The sequence below is a fragment of the Homo sapiens genome, chromosome 12 (genome assembly GCF_000001405.40).
Source record: "Homo sapiens chromosome 12, GRCh38.p14 Primary Assembly".
In the NCBI taxonomy this organism is placed as follows: domain Eukaryota; kingdom Metazoa; phylum Chordata; class Mammalia; order Primates; family Hominidae; genus Homo; species Homo sapiens.
The window spans coordinates 127,941,779-127,956,191 of NC_000012.12; the positions used below are offsets into that span (position 1 = coordinate 127,941,779).

At 41.9% G+C, this 14,413-nt stretch overlaps 2 long non-coding RNA genes across 2 annotated transcripts in view, besides 1 other annotated feature; one reads left to right on the top strand and one right to left on the bottom strand.

The window, feature by feature from the left end:
- Positions 1-9,774, top strand: part of LINC00507 (long intergenic non-protein coding RNA 507) — a 36,143-nt gene extending 26,369 nt beyond the window's left edge. The window contains exons 3-5 of the long non-coding RNA NR_046392.1: positions 2,940-3,021; positions 7,046-7,180; positions 8,196-9,774. This is a non-coding gene — a long non-coding RNA (long intergenic non-protein coding RNA 507). The remainder of the gene's footprint in view (positions 1-2,939; positions 3,022-7,045; positions 7,181-8,195) is intronic.
- The window catches only part of LINC00508 (long intergenic non-protein coding RNA 508), a 99,903-nt gene that overhangs the window by 57,790 nt on the left and 27,700 nt on the right, over positions 1-14,413 (bottom strand). The gene's annotated exons all lie outside the window — the stretch shown is intronic.
- Positions 2,106-2,400: an enhancer, noted in NCBI's record as "tiled region #13079; K562 Activating DNase matched - State 9:DNaseU". NCBI's record gives its function as "activates a minimal TATA promoter and a strong SV40 promoter by Sharpr-MPRA in K562 cells {active_cell/tissue: K562}" and the evidence as "EXISTENCE:reporter gene assay evidence [ECO:0000049][PMID:27701403]".

Genomic DNA, 14,413 nt, shown 5'->3' on the forward strand with positions numbered 1-14,413 from the left:
CATTAGTTATTACTTGTCTTTTAATTACAGCCACCCTAGTAGTTGTGAAGTATAACCTTACTGTGGTTTTGATTTACATTTCCCTCATGGCTAACGACGTTGAGCATCTCTTCCTTTGCTAACTATCCATCTGTGTACTTTTTTCAAAGAAAAATACCTTTTCAAATACTTTGTTGGAGAATGACATTCACTGGGGCAGGAGGCAGAGGTGAATGAGGCTAGAGATGGAAAGAGCTACACCCACATCTGAGCTTCATAGGATCTGTCATGTTTTGTCCATTTCAGGTATTCTCACTGGTGACTTACACTCTAGAAATTACTGAGGACCCCAAAGATGTTTTGTTTCTATGCCTCAGATGCATCTATATTTAATACATTATTGCAATAATGTAATTTATTATTGTGATGTTAATATATAATATTAATACAATATTAAACATTGAGATATTTAAAATATTTCATTTAAAAATAACAAAAACCAATTAAAGGTGAATATACATAAAATATTTTTATGAAAAAATATATTTTTCAAAAGAAAATTACTCTGAGGATAGCAGCATTGTACTATATTTTTGCAATTATGCATAATGTTTTCTTTAATAGAAGACAGCAGGAATCTCATCTCTCCTTCTGCATTCCATTTGAGACAAGATGTTTGAATTGAAGCAAATAAGAAACATACAAAAAAATGACATAAGTAAAGAAGCTATGGCCTCACCCCGATATGTTGCTGGCAGGAGAGACAACAGCAAACACAGGAAACTCAAGGAAAATCAGTGTGGCTAGAGACAGATGCTGAACTGGAGCCTGGAATGAGTTGAGGCTGGAGAGGGAGGTAGGGCAAGACTCAGGCTGTGGCTGGGCTGAGTGGCTTTGTCTATTCTCCAAGAGCAAAGGGAAGAACATGGTCCCATGACAGCACACTCTGGGAAAATGAGACTTCTGAATTGGGGACCTTGAAACAGGAGGGCCCACATTACCAGCCGTGTAGGAAGCATCTGTTCAGCAGCAGAATGCGAAGAGGATGGTGGGGGGCACTGCCTCCCTGTGTAACCATAATGGGTCCCTTACCCAAAATATGCAGCAAATCAACACCTGGAGGCACGGGGTTGCAGCAGAGAAAGAGCTTTAATCGTAAGGCCACCGAAGGAGGACATGGGAGGAAACCTCAAATCCATCTCCGCCAGGAATTCGGGGCTAAGGTTTGAAGAGATTTGGAGTGGGCTGAAGGGTGGAAATTGTTGATTGGTTGGAGCACAGGGTGAAGTCATGGGCCAGAGAGAGGAAGAAGTTGTATTTTCATGCCGATCTCATTCCTCTGTGGGGGCCTACACACTAGTTGCTAGAATGTGTGGTCTGAAAAACATCCTAAGCAATCCTTAAACAAAAGCCCCATGAGCTGATTGTCAGAGGTCCTGTCGACAGGAGCAATGGGAATGCAAGTCAATCCTTCAACAGTCTCATGACCCTGTGTCCTAAATCCTGTCTGTAGGAACAACAGGGAAGCACCTGGTGAGGACCTGGTGCTACCGGGCTTCTAGCAACAAGGAAGGAGCCAGAGTGCAGCCAGATGCATCCTTAACCATAACTCTATTTCTGTCCAAAACCTTGTATACAATTCTTATCAATCCTGGGGGGATGGTTTCACCCAGGGCCTGACATGGGAAAGGCTGCTGAGGTCAACAGAGACAGCAGCGGAAGCCCTGGCAGTGGTGGAAGTCACCATGGGTGGCTGAGAGGCGTCCCACTCCAAGTTCTGTGCTGAGTGCACATTGCAGTTTGGTTTTTGCGGGGAAGGAGATTCTGAAATTTGAGTTTAGCATGCAAGACATTTATTTGGGAGTGTCCTTGATATAAACATCTATGGGAGAAGGGGGAGAAAGCTGGCAGAGACGGAGGTTGAGCTTGGAGGTGGTCCTGGCGGCCTCAGCCCATTCTGTTGGTGCTCAGGAGCCCACATGGCCTGTCAGAGCTGTGCTCCATCGGGTCAGGCATTTACTCCTCAGCAATGGTAACCACCCAAGGGGTTCACCTTGCCCTCTGCCTAAACAGAGTGGATTCATCAAGACAGGGGAATTGCAACAAAGAAAGAGTAATTCACGCAGAGCCAGCTGTGCAGGAGACCAGAGTTTTACCATTACTCAAATCAGTCTCCCCGAGCATTCAGGGAGTAGAGTTTTTAAGGACAACTTGCTGGGTTGGGGGAAGTCAGTGAGCCAGGAGTGCTGATTGGTCAGAGATAAAATCACAGGGAGTCGAGGCTGTCGTCTTGCACTGAGTCAGTTCCTGGGTGGGGGTCACAAGATCATATGGGCCAGTTTATCCATCTGGGTGGTGCCAGCTGACTCATCAAGTGCAGGGTCTGCAAAACGTCTCAAGCCCTGATCTTAGGGGCAGCTTAGGGAGGGTCAGAATCTTGTAGCCTCCAGCTGCATGACTCCCAAACCATAATTTCTAATCCTGTGGCTAATGTTAGTCCTACAAAGGCAATCTAGTCCCCAGGCAAGAAGGAGGTCTGCTTTGGGAAAGGGCTGTTCCCATCTTTGTTTACACTATAAACTTTGTTTAAACTATATAAAACTATAAACTTTGTTTAAACTATAAACTAAGTTTCTCCCAAGGTTAGTTCAGCCTAAGCCTAGGAATGAACAAGAACAGCTTGGAGGTTAGAAGCAAGATAGAGTCGATTAAGTTAGGTCTCAGTCATAATTTTGCAAAGGCTGTTTCACGATTATTACTATTATTGGTTATGAGCCACCCCTAAAACGGCATGACCTTCATGGGAAAGATTTTCTGCACTGGCAACAATGCGGCCGAGATTTGAGGGCTGTGTTCCGGTCATTTGTGACCCCCTGTCACCATGGTGTTTTAAATAGTTGGTCTCATTTGCTCTTCATATCAACCCTACGAAGCAGTGACCTTATTTTCCTCTTCGACAGGTGAACAAACAGACGCATAATAGCTCTTGAGCTTGCCATTGGGAAGTGAAAATCAACTGCTTGAATAAATGTAAGGACTCAGGTAAGATACATGGGTATAGACCAAGACAGCCCTAATGTTCCTCTCAGCTTAACTCTTCTTGCTGCCACCAGCTCCCTGGTTTCCCTATTCTTAGAGCATTTACTTCAGAAGACTTGCCTTTGCGGCTCTTTCTCTGCCCCTTGGAGAGGGAAATCTGCTCCAAATCCTCCTGCCAGTGCTAAAAACCTGACCTGTCTTTCTCAAGGACCTGGGAGACATTCATTTGAAATGTAGACATCCAGGAACATGGGCTGCCCTATCTCCCCATCTCTGTGGGAGGGAAGTTGCCTAACTTCAGCGGGAGTCTTGCTCCAAATGTTAAAACTCCCTCTTGTCATAAAGATACGAGAAAGTTCACTTTTCCTTTGGGGAAAGCTGATTCACCAAGACGGATGGCCTACAATTCCCTGACCCCAGGTCTTCACATGTGCGCGCACGCGCGCGCGCACACACACACACACACACACACACACACACACTTTCTTCAGAGGAGCTGTGCTCAAACTGAGTTCTGGTCTCTTTACCGTATTGCAGTAGCTTTGAATGAAGCCTTCCTTAACTTTGCCCAGTGCAATTTGGTTTTGACAGTTCCGTTCAAAACCGTGGGCTAGAAGATACAGTGGAATCAGGTTTAGAAACTCTAATGCATGGGTGAATGAGATAGGCAAGGAGAATTTGGCCATATACAAGATGGAATGGGGAAGATGCTGGAAGGTGGAGACCCCACTAGGGGAGTGAATAGTGTCCCCGCAAAATTACATCTAACATCCAACTCCTGGCACCTGTGAGCCTTATTTTGGAACTAGGATTTTTGCAGGTGTAATTGAGTTAAGGATCTTGAGATCATACCATCCTTGATTTAGGGTGGGCCCTAAATCCAAATAGTGGTGTCCTTATAAAATAAAGGAGCGGAAGATATGAGACACAGGGAAGGAGGCCTGTGAAGACAGAGGTGGAGATGAGAGTGAAGCTGCCACCAGAAGAGGCAGGAAGACCTGGAGGCAGCACAGGCAAGGGAGGATCCTCCCCTAGAGCCTTCAGAGGGAGTGCGACTCTGCCGGGGAAACTTCCGGCTTCCTGTACTGTGAGAGAATCAACCTGTATTGTTTCTGGCCGTTAAGTTTGTTGTGTCTGCCTCAGGAAATGAAGGCACCCATCTAAAAGCTCCATGGTTGTTACTCTGAAGAAATGTGGTAGTAGATCCCTTAGATTTGCCAGAAAGTGCCAGAAATCTGTCATTTGCTGTCAGATCCTTTTATTTTTAATTTCATTTTTTAAATTCTTAATTTTTATTTTTTATATTTTATTATTTATTTATTTATTTTCAGACAGAGTCTCACTCTGTCAACCAGGCTGGAGTGCAGTGGCAGGATCTCAGCTCACTGCAATCTCCGCCTCCCAGGCTCAAGTGATGCTCCCACCTCAGCCTCCTGAGTGTCTGAGAACAGGCACTCCCCACCACACCAGGCTAATTTTTTGTATTTTTGGTAGAGAGGGGATTTCACCATGTTGCCCAGGCTGGTCTTGAACTCCTGAGCTCAGCAATCCACCTACCTCAGCCTTCCAAAGTGCTGGGATTACAGGCTTGGGCCGTTACACCTGGCCTTAGATCCTTTTATTTTTAAATGTCAGCAAACAACTGATTTTTTTCCCTCAGTTCTTTGCAGGCCAGCGTGTAAGGGGGAAAGCAGGTAAGAAACAAGTCTCCGGGGGCAAGCACAGGCTCCAAGTAGCACATTAAGAACCTAGATTTGATTTCGAATTTGAGCTGCATGGAATTGTTCCAGGTGAGTGGTGAGTTCTGCCTGATGGGGTGGCAGTTGTTGGTCCTGAATATTTTTACTGTCCTAATTCAAGGCCAGAGGAACCATCTTTTTTTTTTTTTTTTTTTTGACAGTGTCTCGCTCTGTCCCCCAGGCTGGAGTGCAGTGGCGCGATCTCGGCTCACTGCAAGCTCCGCCTCCCGGGTTCACGCCATTCTCCTGCCTCAGCCTCCCGAGTAGCTGGGACTACAGGTGCCCGCCAACACACCCGGCTAATTTTTTTTGTATTTTTAGTAGAGACGGGGTTTCACCGTGTTAGCCAGTATGGTCTCAATCTCCTGACCTTGTGATCCGCTCATCTCAGCCTCCCAAAGTGCTGGGATTACAGGCATAAGCCACCCCGCCCGGTGGGACCATCTTTTGCTACTTCAGACATGGACCTATGTCTCAGCCTAGAAGTGTGGAAGAATGAACCTGGATCGTTGAGTAGAAGGCACATCACGCAAAACACTGAAACTGCCTTTGCAAAAATCAGGGTAGTGAGAGAAGGTCTTGCATGACTGACTCCATCTTGCCTCAAGCCTCACAAGCCAGCTATCTTCACTCATTCCTGAGCACAGGCCAAGCTAACCATGGGAGGAATTTATAGTTTAACTTAGAGCAAGGATGACAATAGTCCCTTCCTAAAACTAATTCCTCCTTGCTCAGGGACCAAAAACTAATGAAAGGCCTCAAGATGAGGATCATGGGAGGAGTCTGAATTCTGCTAAAATGTAGGCAGTTTCTATCATCCTTACTACTCAGGAGTCATGTGGCCAGAGGTCACAAGATTTGAGCCTTCCCCAGTTGCTCCTATGGATAACATCACTACTGTAGAACCTAAGATTGGTCTCTTGAGATGTTTTTCAGACCTCTGCATTCTGGCAATCAACTGACCTCACCTGGAATCACGAGTCATGACTGAACCGGTCCTGTGGCCCCACCTGGGGATAAACTCAGCACACAAGGATCATTTTCCACACCTCTATGATTTCATAGGCAACCAATCAACGGCACCCATTTTTTAGCCTCCTGCTCGCCAAAGCATCTTTGAAAAATCCTAACCTCCAAGCCTTCGGGGAGACTGATTTGAGTAATAACTCTGTTCCCTGCATGGCTGGTCTAGTGTCAATTAAACTCTTTCTTTACTGCCATACCATAGTCTCAGCGAATTGGTTTTGTCTGTGCAATGGGCAGGAAGAACGTGTCTGGTGAGCATCTCCACACATTCAGAAATTGTCCATCTAAGACAATGGAGTTATTTTCACCCTCAACAAATGCCTCAACTCTGTGACATTTTAAGCAAATCTTAACTTTGACTTATGAATTCAAGAAGGAAAAAAAAAAAGTAAGAAAATGTTGATTGTAATATTTCCTCTGAACGTCCTTCCCCTGGGGACAGGCTCCCTTGCTGTTGTGTGGTCACTGTTCCCATTAACCTAACGAAATCTACACTTGCAAATGAAGTCCTGGGGTCCACACTAAATGTTCACAGTCTGGCCACATGCTAATATTCCATGTGCTAGCCCATATCTTTAAATAGACTCATGGAAATGTGTTAAATGATATAACAGAATAAAAATCAAGCTTAACTTAAAGATGAGTCTTTTTTTTTCTATATGAGGAAATAAAGCAACTGAACATTTCTTTGCACTTTATGTTAAATTAAATGCTAACATGTACAGAAAAAAGAAAAAATGCACTCTGATGATGAAGGGACTGAGTCAAATTCACAACCAGGGTCTTTTTTTTTTTTTTTTTGAGACAGAGTCTCACTCTGTCGCCCAGGCTGGAGTGCAGCGGTGTGATCTCGGCTCACTGAAACCTCTGCCTCCCGGGTTCAAGCGATTCTCCTGCCTCAGCCTCCCGAGTAGGTGGGGCTATAGGCACGTGCCTGTAGTACATGCAGTATAGTACTGGCATGCCTGGCTATTTTTTGTATTTTTAGTAGAGACAGGGTTTCACCGTGTTAGCCAGGATGGTCTCGATCTCCAGCCAGGGTCGTTTTAGTGAATGAGAACTGTGAATCGGAACCCACAAAAAACATTTTTAGCAATCAGTTGGCTTTATTTTATTTGAAGATAATCTCAGCCATTTGCTTTGCATTGGAATTCATTTTGTTTTGATCTGTTTTGCTAACAAATCAGGCATTCAGTTTTGCGCACCACAGGGGCAGGCAGCATACGTGTTTTCTAAACCAGTGTCTACCCATTGCTTTGCAGAACACCAGACATGGGTGCTCCAATCCACGTAGTGTTGAGGCAGTGAAGTTTGTGTTCCAGGAACTTCAGAACTCCTGAATGTATTGGTGTTGATAAAAGGTGATGAGATGAAGTAGAATGACCATAAACTTAGAGGTTGGTAACATGTGTCCTAGCCCCTTGTCTGCGGTAAATCTCAGGAAAACAATACGCCCTTCTTAGGTTTCATTATCTCATCTGTAAATGAAACTGTTAGACAAAGTCAGCACAGAGGACACATGCTTTGGCTGGAATGTGAGATAATTTTAGGTGTCATCACTCTTAATGTTAAATAATATGGCTGGGCACGGTGGCTCACGCCTGTAATCCCAGCACTTTGGTAGGCCGAGGTGGGTAGATCACGAGGTCAAGAGACCCAGACCATCCTGGCTAACATGGTGAAACCTCATCTCTACTAAAAATACAAAAATTAGAGCACGGTTGTAATCCCAGCTACTCAGGAGGCTGCGACAGGAGAATCTCTTGAACCCGGGAGGCGGAGGTTGCAGTGAGCTGAGGTCACGCCACTGCACTCTAGCCTGGCGACAGAGCGAGACTCCGTCTCTAAACAACCAAAAATGTTAAATGATATTATGAGGAATCATTTCCCATTAGCATCTTCTTTTATCCTTCTGGTGATACGAAAGGATCATCTTTTCTGTAATAGCATTTTTTCACACTTTTTGAGCTCCTATTTAAAACAGCAAATCCATGTTCAGAATTTTGGAGGTATGATTATGTAGGTAGAGCACTATAAAATTGTTCATCTTTATTATATTTATTTTTATGGCAAGATGTAGTGATTTTTTTTCACTTAGAGTTCAAGAAAAGGTTCGTTTTTAAGTAGATGAATTTAAACACAACAGTGTGTCAATTTATAGACAAATACTGAGAAACAGCATAGGTAGAACTCAGGAGCGGCAATATTTGCTGGTAGTGCATAAGTCAGTGATATTCATGGGACCCTGCATGCTGGTGTGTCCGGACCCTTGTCATCTTAAAATTGAACCTCTCTGTCTACTGTGTATTCACCTTTCTTTCTAAAAGTGCTGTAGTTTTCTTGGAAGTGGAAAAATAAATATACCTAAACACACACACAAACAAAAACTGCGTGGATCAATTTCTCTTACAGGTAGACATCACCTTGTGACTCAACAGCAGCCAATAAGATGGAAATAAAGGCCATGAAGTTATCGGATGGCATCTACAAGGAATACTTAGATGAGGAGGTGACTCTGGTAGCAATTGTTCTTTTGTCTTTCTCACCTTCCTTCTTGTCCTGTCTGGGATGCTGAAGTGATGGCTGGTATACAGATGCCCTGTTGTGATGTTGAGATAAACATGAGAATAAAAGTCGGCGATTACAGATGGCAGAGAAGAGAGAGAAAGATAGGATGTAGGTGGATATTGACGGAACTAAGTTTCTATTGCACAAGTTCTACCACCAACCTCTGGACTTCATGATATGTGAGGGAGAAATAAACTCCTATTTTAGAAGAGATCTATGTTACCTGCAACTGAACGGAATGCTTAATTGGCACATCCTATGTGCTCCAAACCTTCCTTAATTTCTGTGTGTAAGGCATACTTAGTCTTTACCCATTATTCTGTTCACATTCATTCACTTGATCAGCCTCCCAACTCTATGGTAAAGAGTTTACTACAGTTTACTCTATTAGTAAGGGAGATTCTGGAGCAAGCCCCACAAATCATAGATTGAATACCCATTCATTAAGAGAGAGATTTAAAGATACTTCTATCCAAACACATTTTAAATTTCCAGCACCTTTGAGGTGGTGGAGGTTCATGGTGGTTGATAGGGTTTAAATGACTTGTGATTCAAGCTCCATATTACAATGTAACAGTGCAAAAGTTCATTTTTTTAAATTTATTTTACTTTAAGTTCTGGTATACATGTGTAGAACATGCGGGTTTGTTACATAGGTATACATGTGCCATGGTGGTTTGCTGCACCTATCAAACCGTCACCTAGGTTTTAAGAACCACATGCATTAGGTATTTGACCTAATGCTCTCCCTCATGTTGCCCCCCAACTCCCTGACAGGGCCCAGTGTGTGATGTTCCCCTCCCTGTGTCCATGTGTTCTCATTGTTCAACTCCCACTTATGAGTGAGAACATGTGGTGTTTGATTTTCTGTTCCTGTGTTAGTTTGCTGAGAATGATGGCTTCCAGCTTCATCCATGTCCCTGCAAAGGACACGAACTCATTCTTTTTTATGGCTTCATAATATTCCATGAGTCTGGATTTGGTTACAGATAGAGCTGGACAAGCCTTAGCTATATCTAATGGCTTTTGACATGTTATATCAATTTCTTACTGCTTTTGTAAATGAATATATTAAGAAGAAAAAATTACAAATGACCCTTTCTTCACAAACTTTTAGGGTAATCAAGTTCAGTTATTAAAAAATGGATGTTTGCAACATTCATAGTAATTATTTTCAGAAAATTAAAAATGATTAAAAATTATATTTTCATCCCATTCAGATATTATATATTTAACTGTGAGATAATTCTCAGAGATAAATGTCAACTTTTAAAAAATGCTAAATAAATTAAATCAAAATATCCCCTCTAAAATAAATAAATTAGCTCCGATTATTTCTTCTTTTTAAATTTTTCCTTATAGTTGTAAAAATAAAGTGAACGTTTTGGCTCATTTCCTCATTAAAGTTTGAATTTTCCAGTCACCAGTGTTTTGTTCTTTCTTACAAATGTTTATGTGCCTGGAATGAGAACATTACCCTGTAGAATATTTGGTGGTAGAAGTCCTTCCAATGAGGGAGCAAGCAGGATGCCAGCTTAGAATGATTATATAGGCAATAAACTCAAATGTTAATAGGTGTCGAGGAAAGCAGTGTGAGTGGGTTTGGGAGGTTGATCATAAGGCAATAGGGAATGGTGAGGACTGTGGCAAATGAGGGAGCTTCTGCTCTGCCTAATGTGGGGCACCCAGGACACAACTCCAGAGGCTTCTTTTTTGTGACGTCTTTCAATATGTAGGGAAAAGTGGGAAAAAAATCTTGTTTTTTAAACACTGTCATAACAGCAACATAAAATACACTTCTATGACCTATATCCCATCTGTGTGTCTGCACGGGACTCAGTGACCTCAGTCTCTTAGGACTAGTGAATAATAAGAGATGTCAGAAAAGAATGGGATGGGGATAAGTAGAAGTTGACTTCTAGTCTCAGAAGAATAAAAAAGACAAAGAGATGGGATCCCATCTTTCAATGTACCTTCCGTCTTTGAAGTGAGTCTAATAGCTGGAATACAGAATGACTTAAAGCTAATAAAAGTTAGAATGTTATTAATGCAATTTTTAATTGTTACCAGAAAATAATGCAATTCTTAGTTATCACCAACCTTCCAATATAAGAATATTTCTCCTAATTTTCTTCCTCTCTGCCCTTCTTCACTAAACATAAACCCAGAACCATGAAAGTCAATTCCTTCTCCCTGGCACTGCTACTCAAGACCCATATTAAGTATTCAAGTCTTCTAAATTATTTTACTCTCCATACAAAGAAAATAGCATGAGTATTTATAAGTGAGGACAACTCCCAATATACATGAGAGAACTCTAACTCAACTTAACCATAAAGATACATCTTTTTTCACCTAACAAGAAGTCAAGTAGGAATGGCTTTGGGGGAAGTTGATCCAAGGGCTAAATATTGTACCCAAGGCCCCAAGTTCTTTCCATCTGTCTGATCCTTCATTCTTGCTGATGACTTTGTCCTCACAAGGGCTGCAAATGGCTGTAGCAATCCCAAGTGTCTCATTCAGACGTAATAGCAGGCATAAGAAATGACCACTTCATCCTGTGTCTCTTTCTTAGGAATCTGGACATTTCTCTCCCGGATACCCACAAACAGAACTTCCTTGTCATTGGCCAAAATTGGGTCACATAACCATTTACACCCTCACTGGAAATGAGGATAGAATTAGCCCATTCCTCGAGTTGGAGTGAATTCAGATTCTCCTGGGGTACATGCTGTATGTAGAAAGAGTAGATGTCTTAACCAAATCATAATTCAGAACAGTTGGTGGATAGGTAACCAAAGTGTGTATAGGATTATTGTCACAATTTTGGGTTCTATCTTCTAGTCTCCTGTTTTCCAGTTCTTACAAGCCAACCAGATTGACCATGCCAGCTCATTCTTGTTTCTTGATTTCACTCAAAACAAGAAAACCTAGAGATTCTACTTGAAGCCAAACAATAGCAACATAAAAGAAAAGTACCAAAAAATAAGTCTTGCAAAAATCCAAAACGCTGACAACACCAAATGCTGCCGAGGAGGTGGAGAAACAGGAAGTCTCCTTCATTGTTGATGGGAATGCAAAATAGTATATTCACCTTGGAAGACAGTTTTGCAGTCTCAAAAAACTAAACGTATGCTTACTATACAATCTAGCATTCACGCTCCATAGCATTTACCCAAAGAAACTGAAAACCTGTGTCCACACAAAAACCTACTCATGAATGTTTATAGCAGCTTTATTCATAATTAACAAAATTTGGGATGTCTTTCAATAAGTAATGGATACGTAAACAGATATATCCGGACAATAGGATATTATTCGGCTTTACAAAGACATGAGCTATCAAGTCCTGAAAAGCTACTAAAGAACTTTAAATGTGTATTTAAAGAAGCCAATCACACAAGGCTACAACCCATATGATTCCAACTATGTAACTTTCTAGAAAAGGCAAATTAAAAAGATAAGTGGTTTCCAGAGACTGGGAAAATGTACAGTTAAGTGTATGGAGCACAGAAGATTTTTAGAGCAGTGAAACTACTCTGTATGATAATATAATGGAGGGTACAAGTCATTATATACTTGTCAAAACCCGCAGAATGAACAACACCAAGGGTTACTGATGTAAGCTGTGGCTTTGGGTGATAAGAATGTATCAGTGCTGGTTCATCAATTGTAACAAATGTACCACAATCGTAACAAACAATTATAGAGACGTTGATAGTCCAGCAGGTCATATCGGAACATAGGTTGGGGCAGGAGGTATGCAGGAGTTTTCTGTCCATTCTCCTCAATGGGCTCTGAATTTAAAATGGCCCTAAAAATAAAGTATTTTTAATTTTTTTTTCATTCTGACTTTTTTTTAAGTTCAGTGGTACATGTGCAAGTTTATTATATAGGTAAACCTGTGTCACAGGAGTTGGTTGTACAGATTATTTCATCTAGGTATGCCTGTTTCACCCAGGTATTAAGCCTAGCACCCATTAGTTATTCTTCTTGGTCCTCTCCCTCCTTCCACCCTGCACCCTCTGGTAGGACCCTGTGGCTGTTTTTTCCCTCTATGTGTCCATGGGTTCTCATTATTTAGCTCCCATTTATAAGTGAGAACATACTGTATTTGGTTTTCTGTTTCTGTGTTAGTTTGCTAAGGATAATGGCCTGCAGCTCCATCCATGTTCCTGCAAAGGACATGATCCTGTTCTTTTTTACGGCTGCATGGTACTGCATGGTATATATGTACATTTCTTTATCTAGTCTACCACCGATGGGCATCTCGGTTGATTCCATGTCTTTGCTATTGTGAGTAGTGCTGCAACGAACATTAGCATGTTGTGTGTCTTTAAGATTAGAATAACTTATATTCCTTTGGGTATATACTCAGGAATGGGACTGCTGGGTAGAATGGTAGTTCTGTTTTTAGGTTTTTGAGGAATTGCCACACCGGTTTCCACAATGGTTGAGGTAATTTACACTCCCACCAACAGTGTTTAAGTGTTCTTCTGTCTCTCCAATCTCACCAGCACCTGTTATTTAAAAATCATGTTCTTCAGCCATCACATTTTATCAAGGCAAAAACTGAGTCCCAGCTTAAAAGGAGTGGATGGGTCAGAGGAGACTCCAATCTCATTCTAAGTGCCCCGAGTACATGGATGTCCACTGCAAACTGGAAGAGAACTGCTGGGAGGTTTTCTTCCTTCCACTGGGAGGAAGCGATTATAACAATGCCTTTCCACCTATGCCTGTTACTTGTATTTCTGATCCAGATAAAAGCATGACATTAAAAATGGATCTGTGGGGAATTCATGTTTTGAAACATTAACTGATTTTTCCTTGGTATTTCTTCTTACTCTTCACTCTTTTTCACATTTGTGAGGTCAACTCACCTAGCATTCATGGCATTGGAGAAGAGGTGATATGTCAAAGGAAAGCCTCCTGGATTTTAAAATTCTGAATTCTAAAATAACTCAGAGCATATCATTTAAAAATTGATAAAGTCGAGGAAGGTTTTCTGTCTTCAAGACCAGGCAAGATACAGAGAAAAAAGAGGACCTGAAAGAAACTGAGGCTCTGGTGGGAAGGGTTGGTTACATCGTAACCTTTGTCTCAGTCTTGACTTTGGAAGTCACTGCGGGTGGGATTTCTGAACTGATGGAGAGTAACATGCAGGTATCTAATAGCAAGGGTACTTATAAAAAGTAATATAAGACCGGGCACGGTGGCTCGCGCCTGTAATCCCAGCACTCTGGGAGGCCAACGCGGGCAGATCATGAGGTCAGGAGATGGAGACCATCCTGGTTAACACGGTGAAACTCTGTCTCAAATAAAAATACAAAAAAATTAGCCAGGCGTGGTGGCAGGAGCCTGTAGTCCCAGCTACTCGGGAGGCTGAGGCAGGAGAATGGCGCTAACCTGGGAGGCAGAGCTTGCAGTGAGCTGAGATCGCGCCACTGCACTCCAGCCTGGGCCACAGAGTGAGACCCCATCTCAAAAAAAAAAAAAGTAATATAAATTACTGAAATAAAAAAAGAAATGTATCTTTTCTCTATACTTGAGCTTGTAGATTGACATTTGTACCTCTACAGGACCAAAGAAATTTGAGTCTTCTTATATCCCTACCAAAGAAGAAAAAAGATTGTAAATGTTGAAGTACTTAAAGGGCTGGACATGATCAGATGCCTCTAAATTGGTTATCATAGAGACGAATAAGACAATTGACAGCCTTTTCCACTATTTCCTTTAGTTAGATTACATTAACCTTCCCATTTCACCATCGCCTGCTGATTCGCATATACTAAAAGCCTACAGTGATAAAAGCAATATGATAATAAAGCAAAAGGAAAATCTTGCCAATATCTGGATGTGGGACCCTAAGCCGATTACTGTCCTCTCTGATCCTCAGTCCTGTTACCCACAAAAGGAGAGTGTGGGCTGATATAGATCAACTTTTAGTTTCTTTTGGGTTAATTGTTCAATTTTATGGTTGCAAGTGAATCATTTGAAATGTGTTCTGAGCTTGAATTGATATTTATTTTTGCAACTCCATAGTAATTTTCTATAATTTCTCA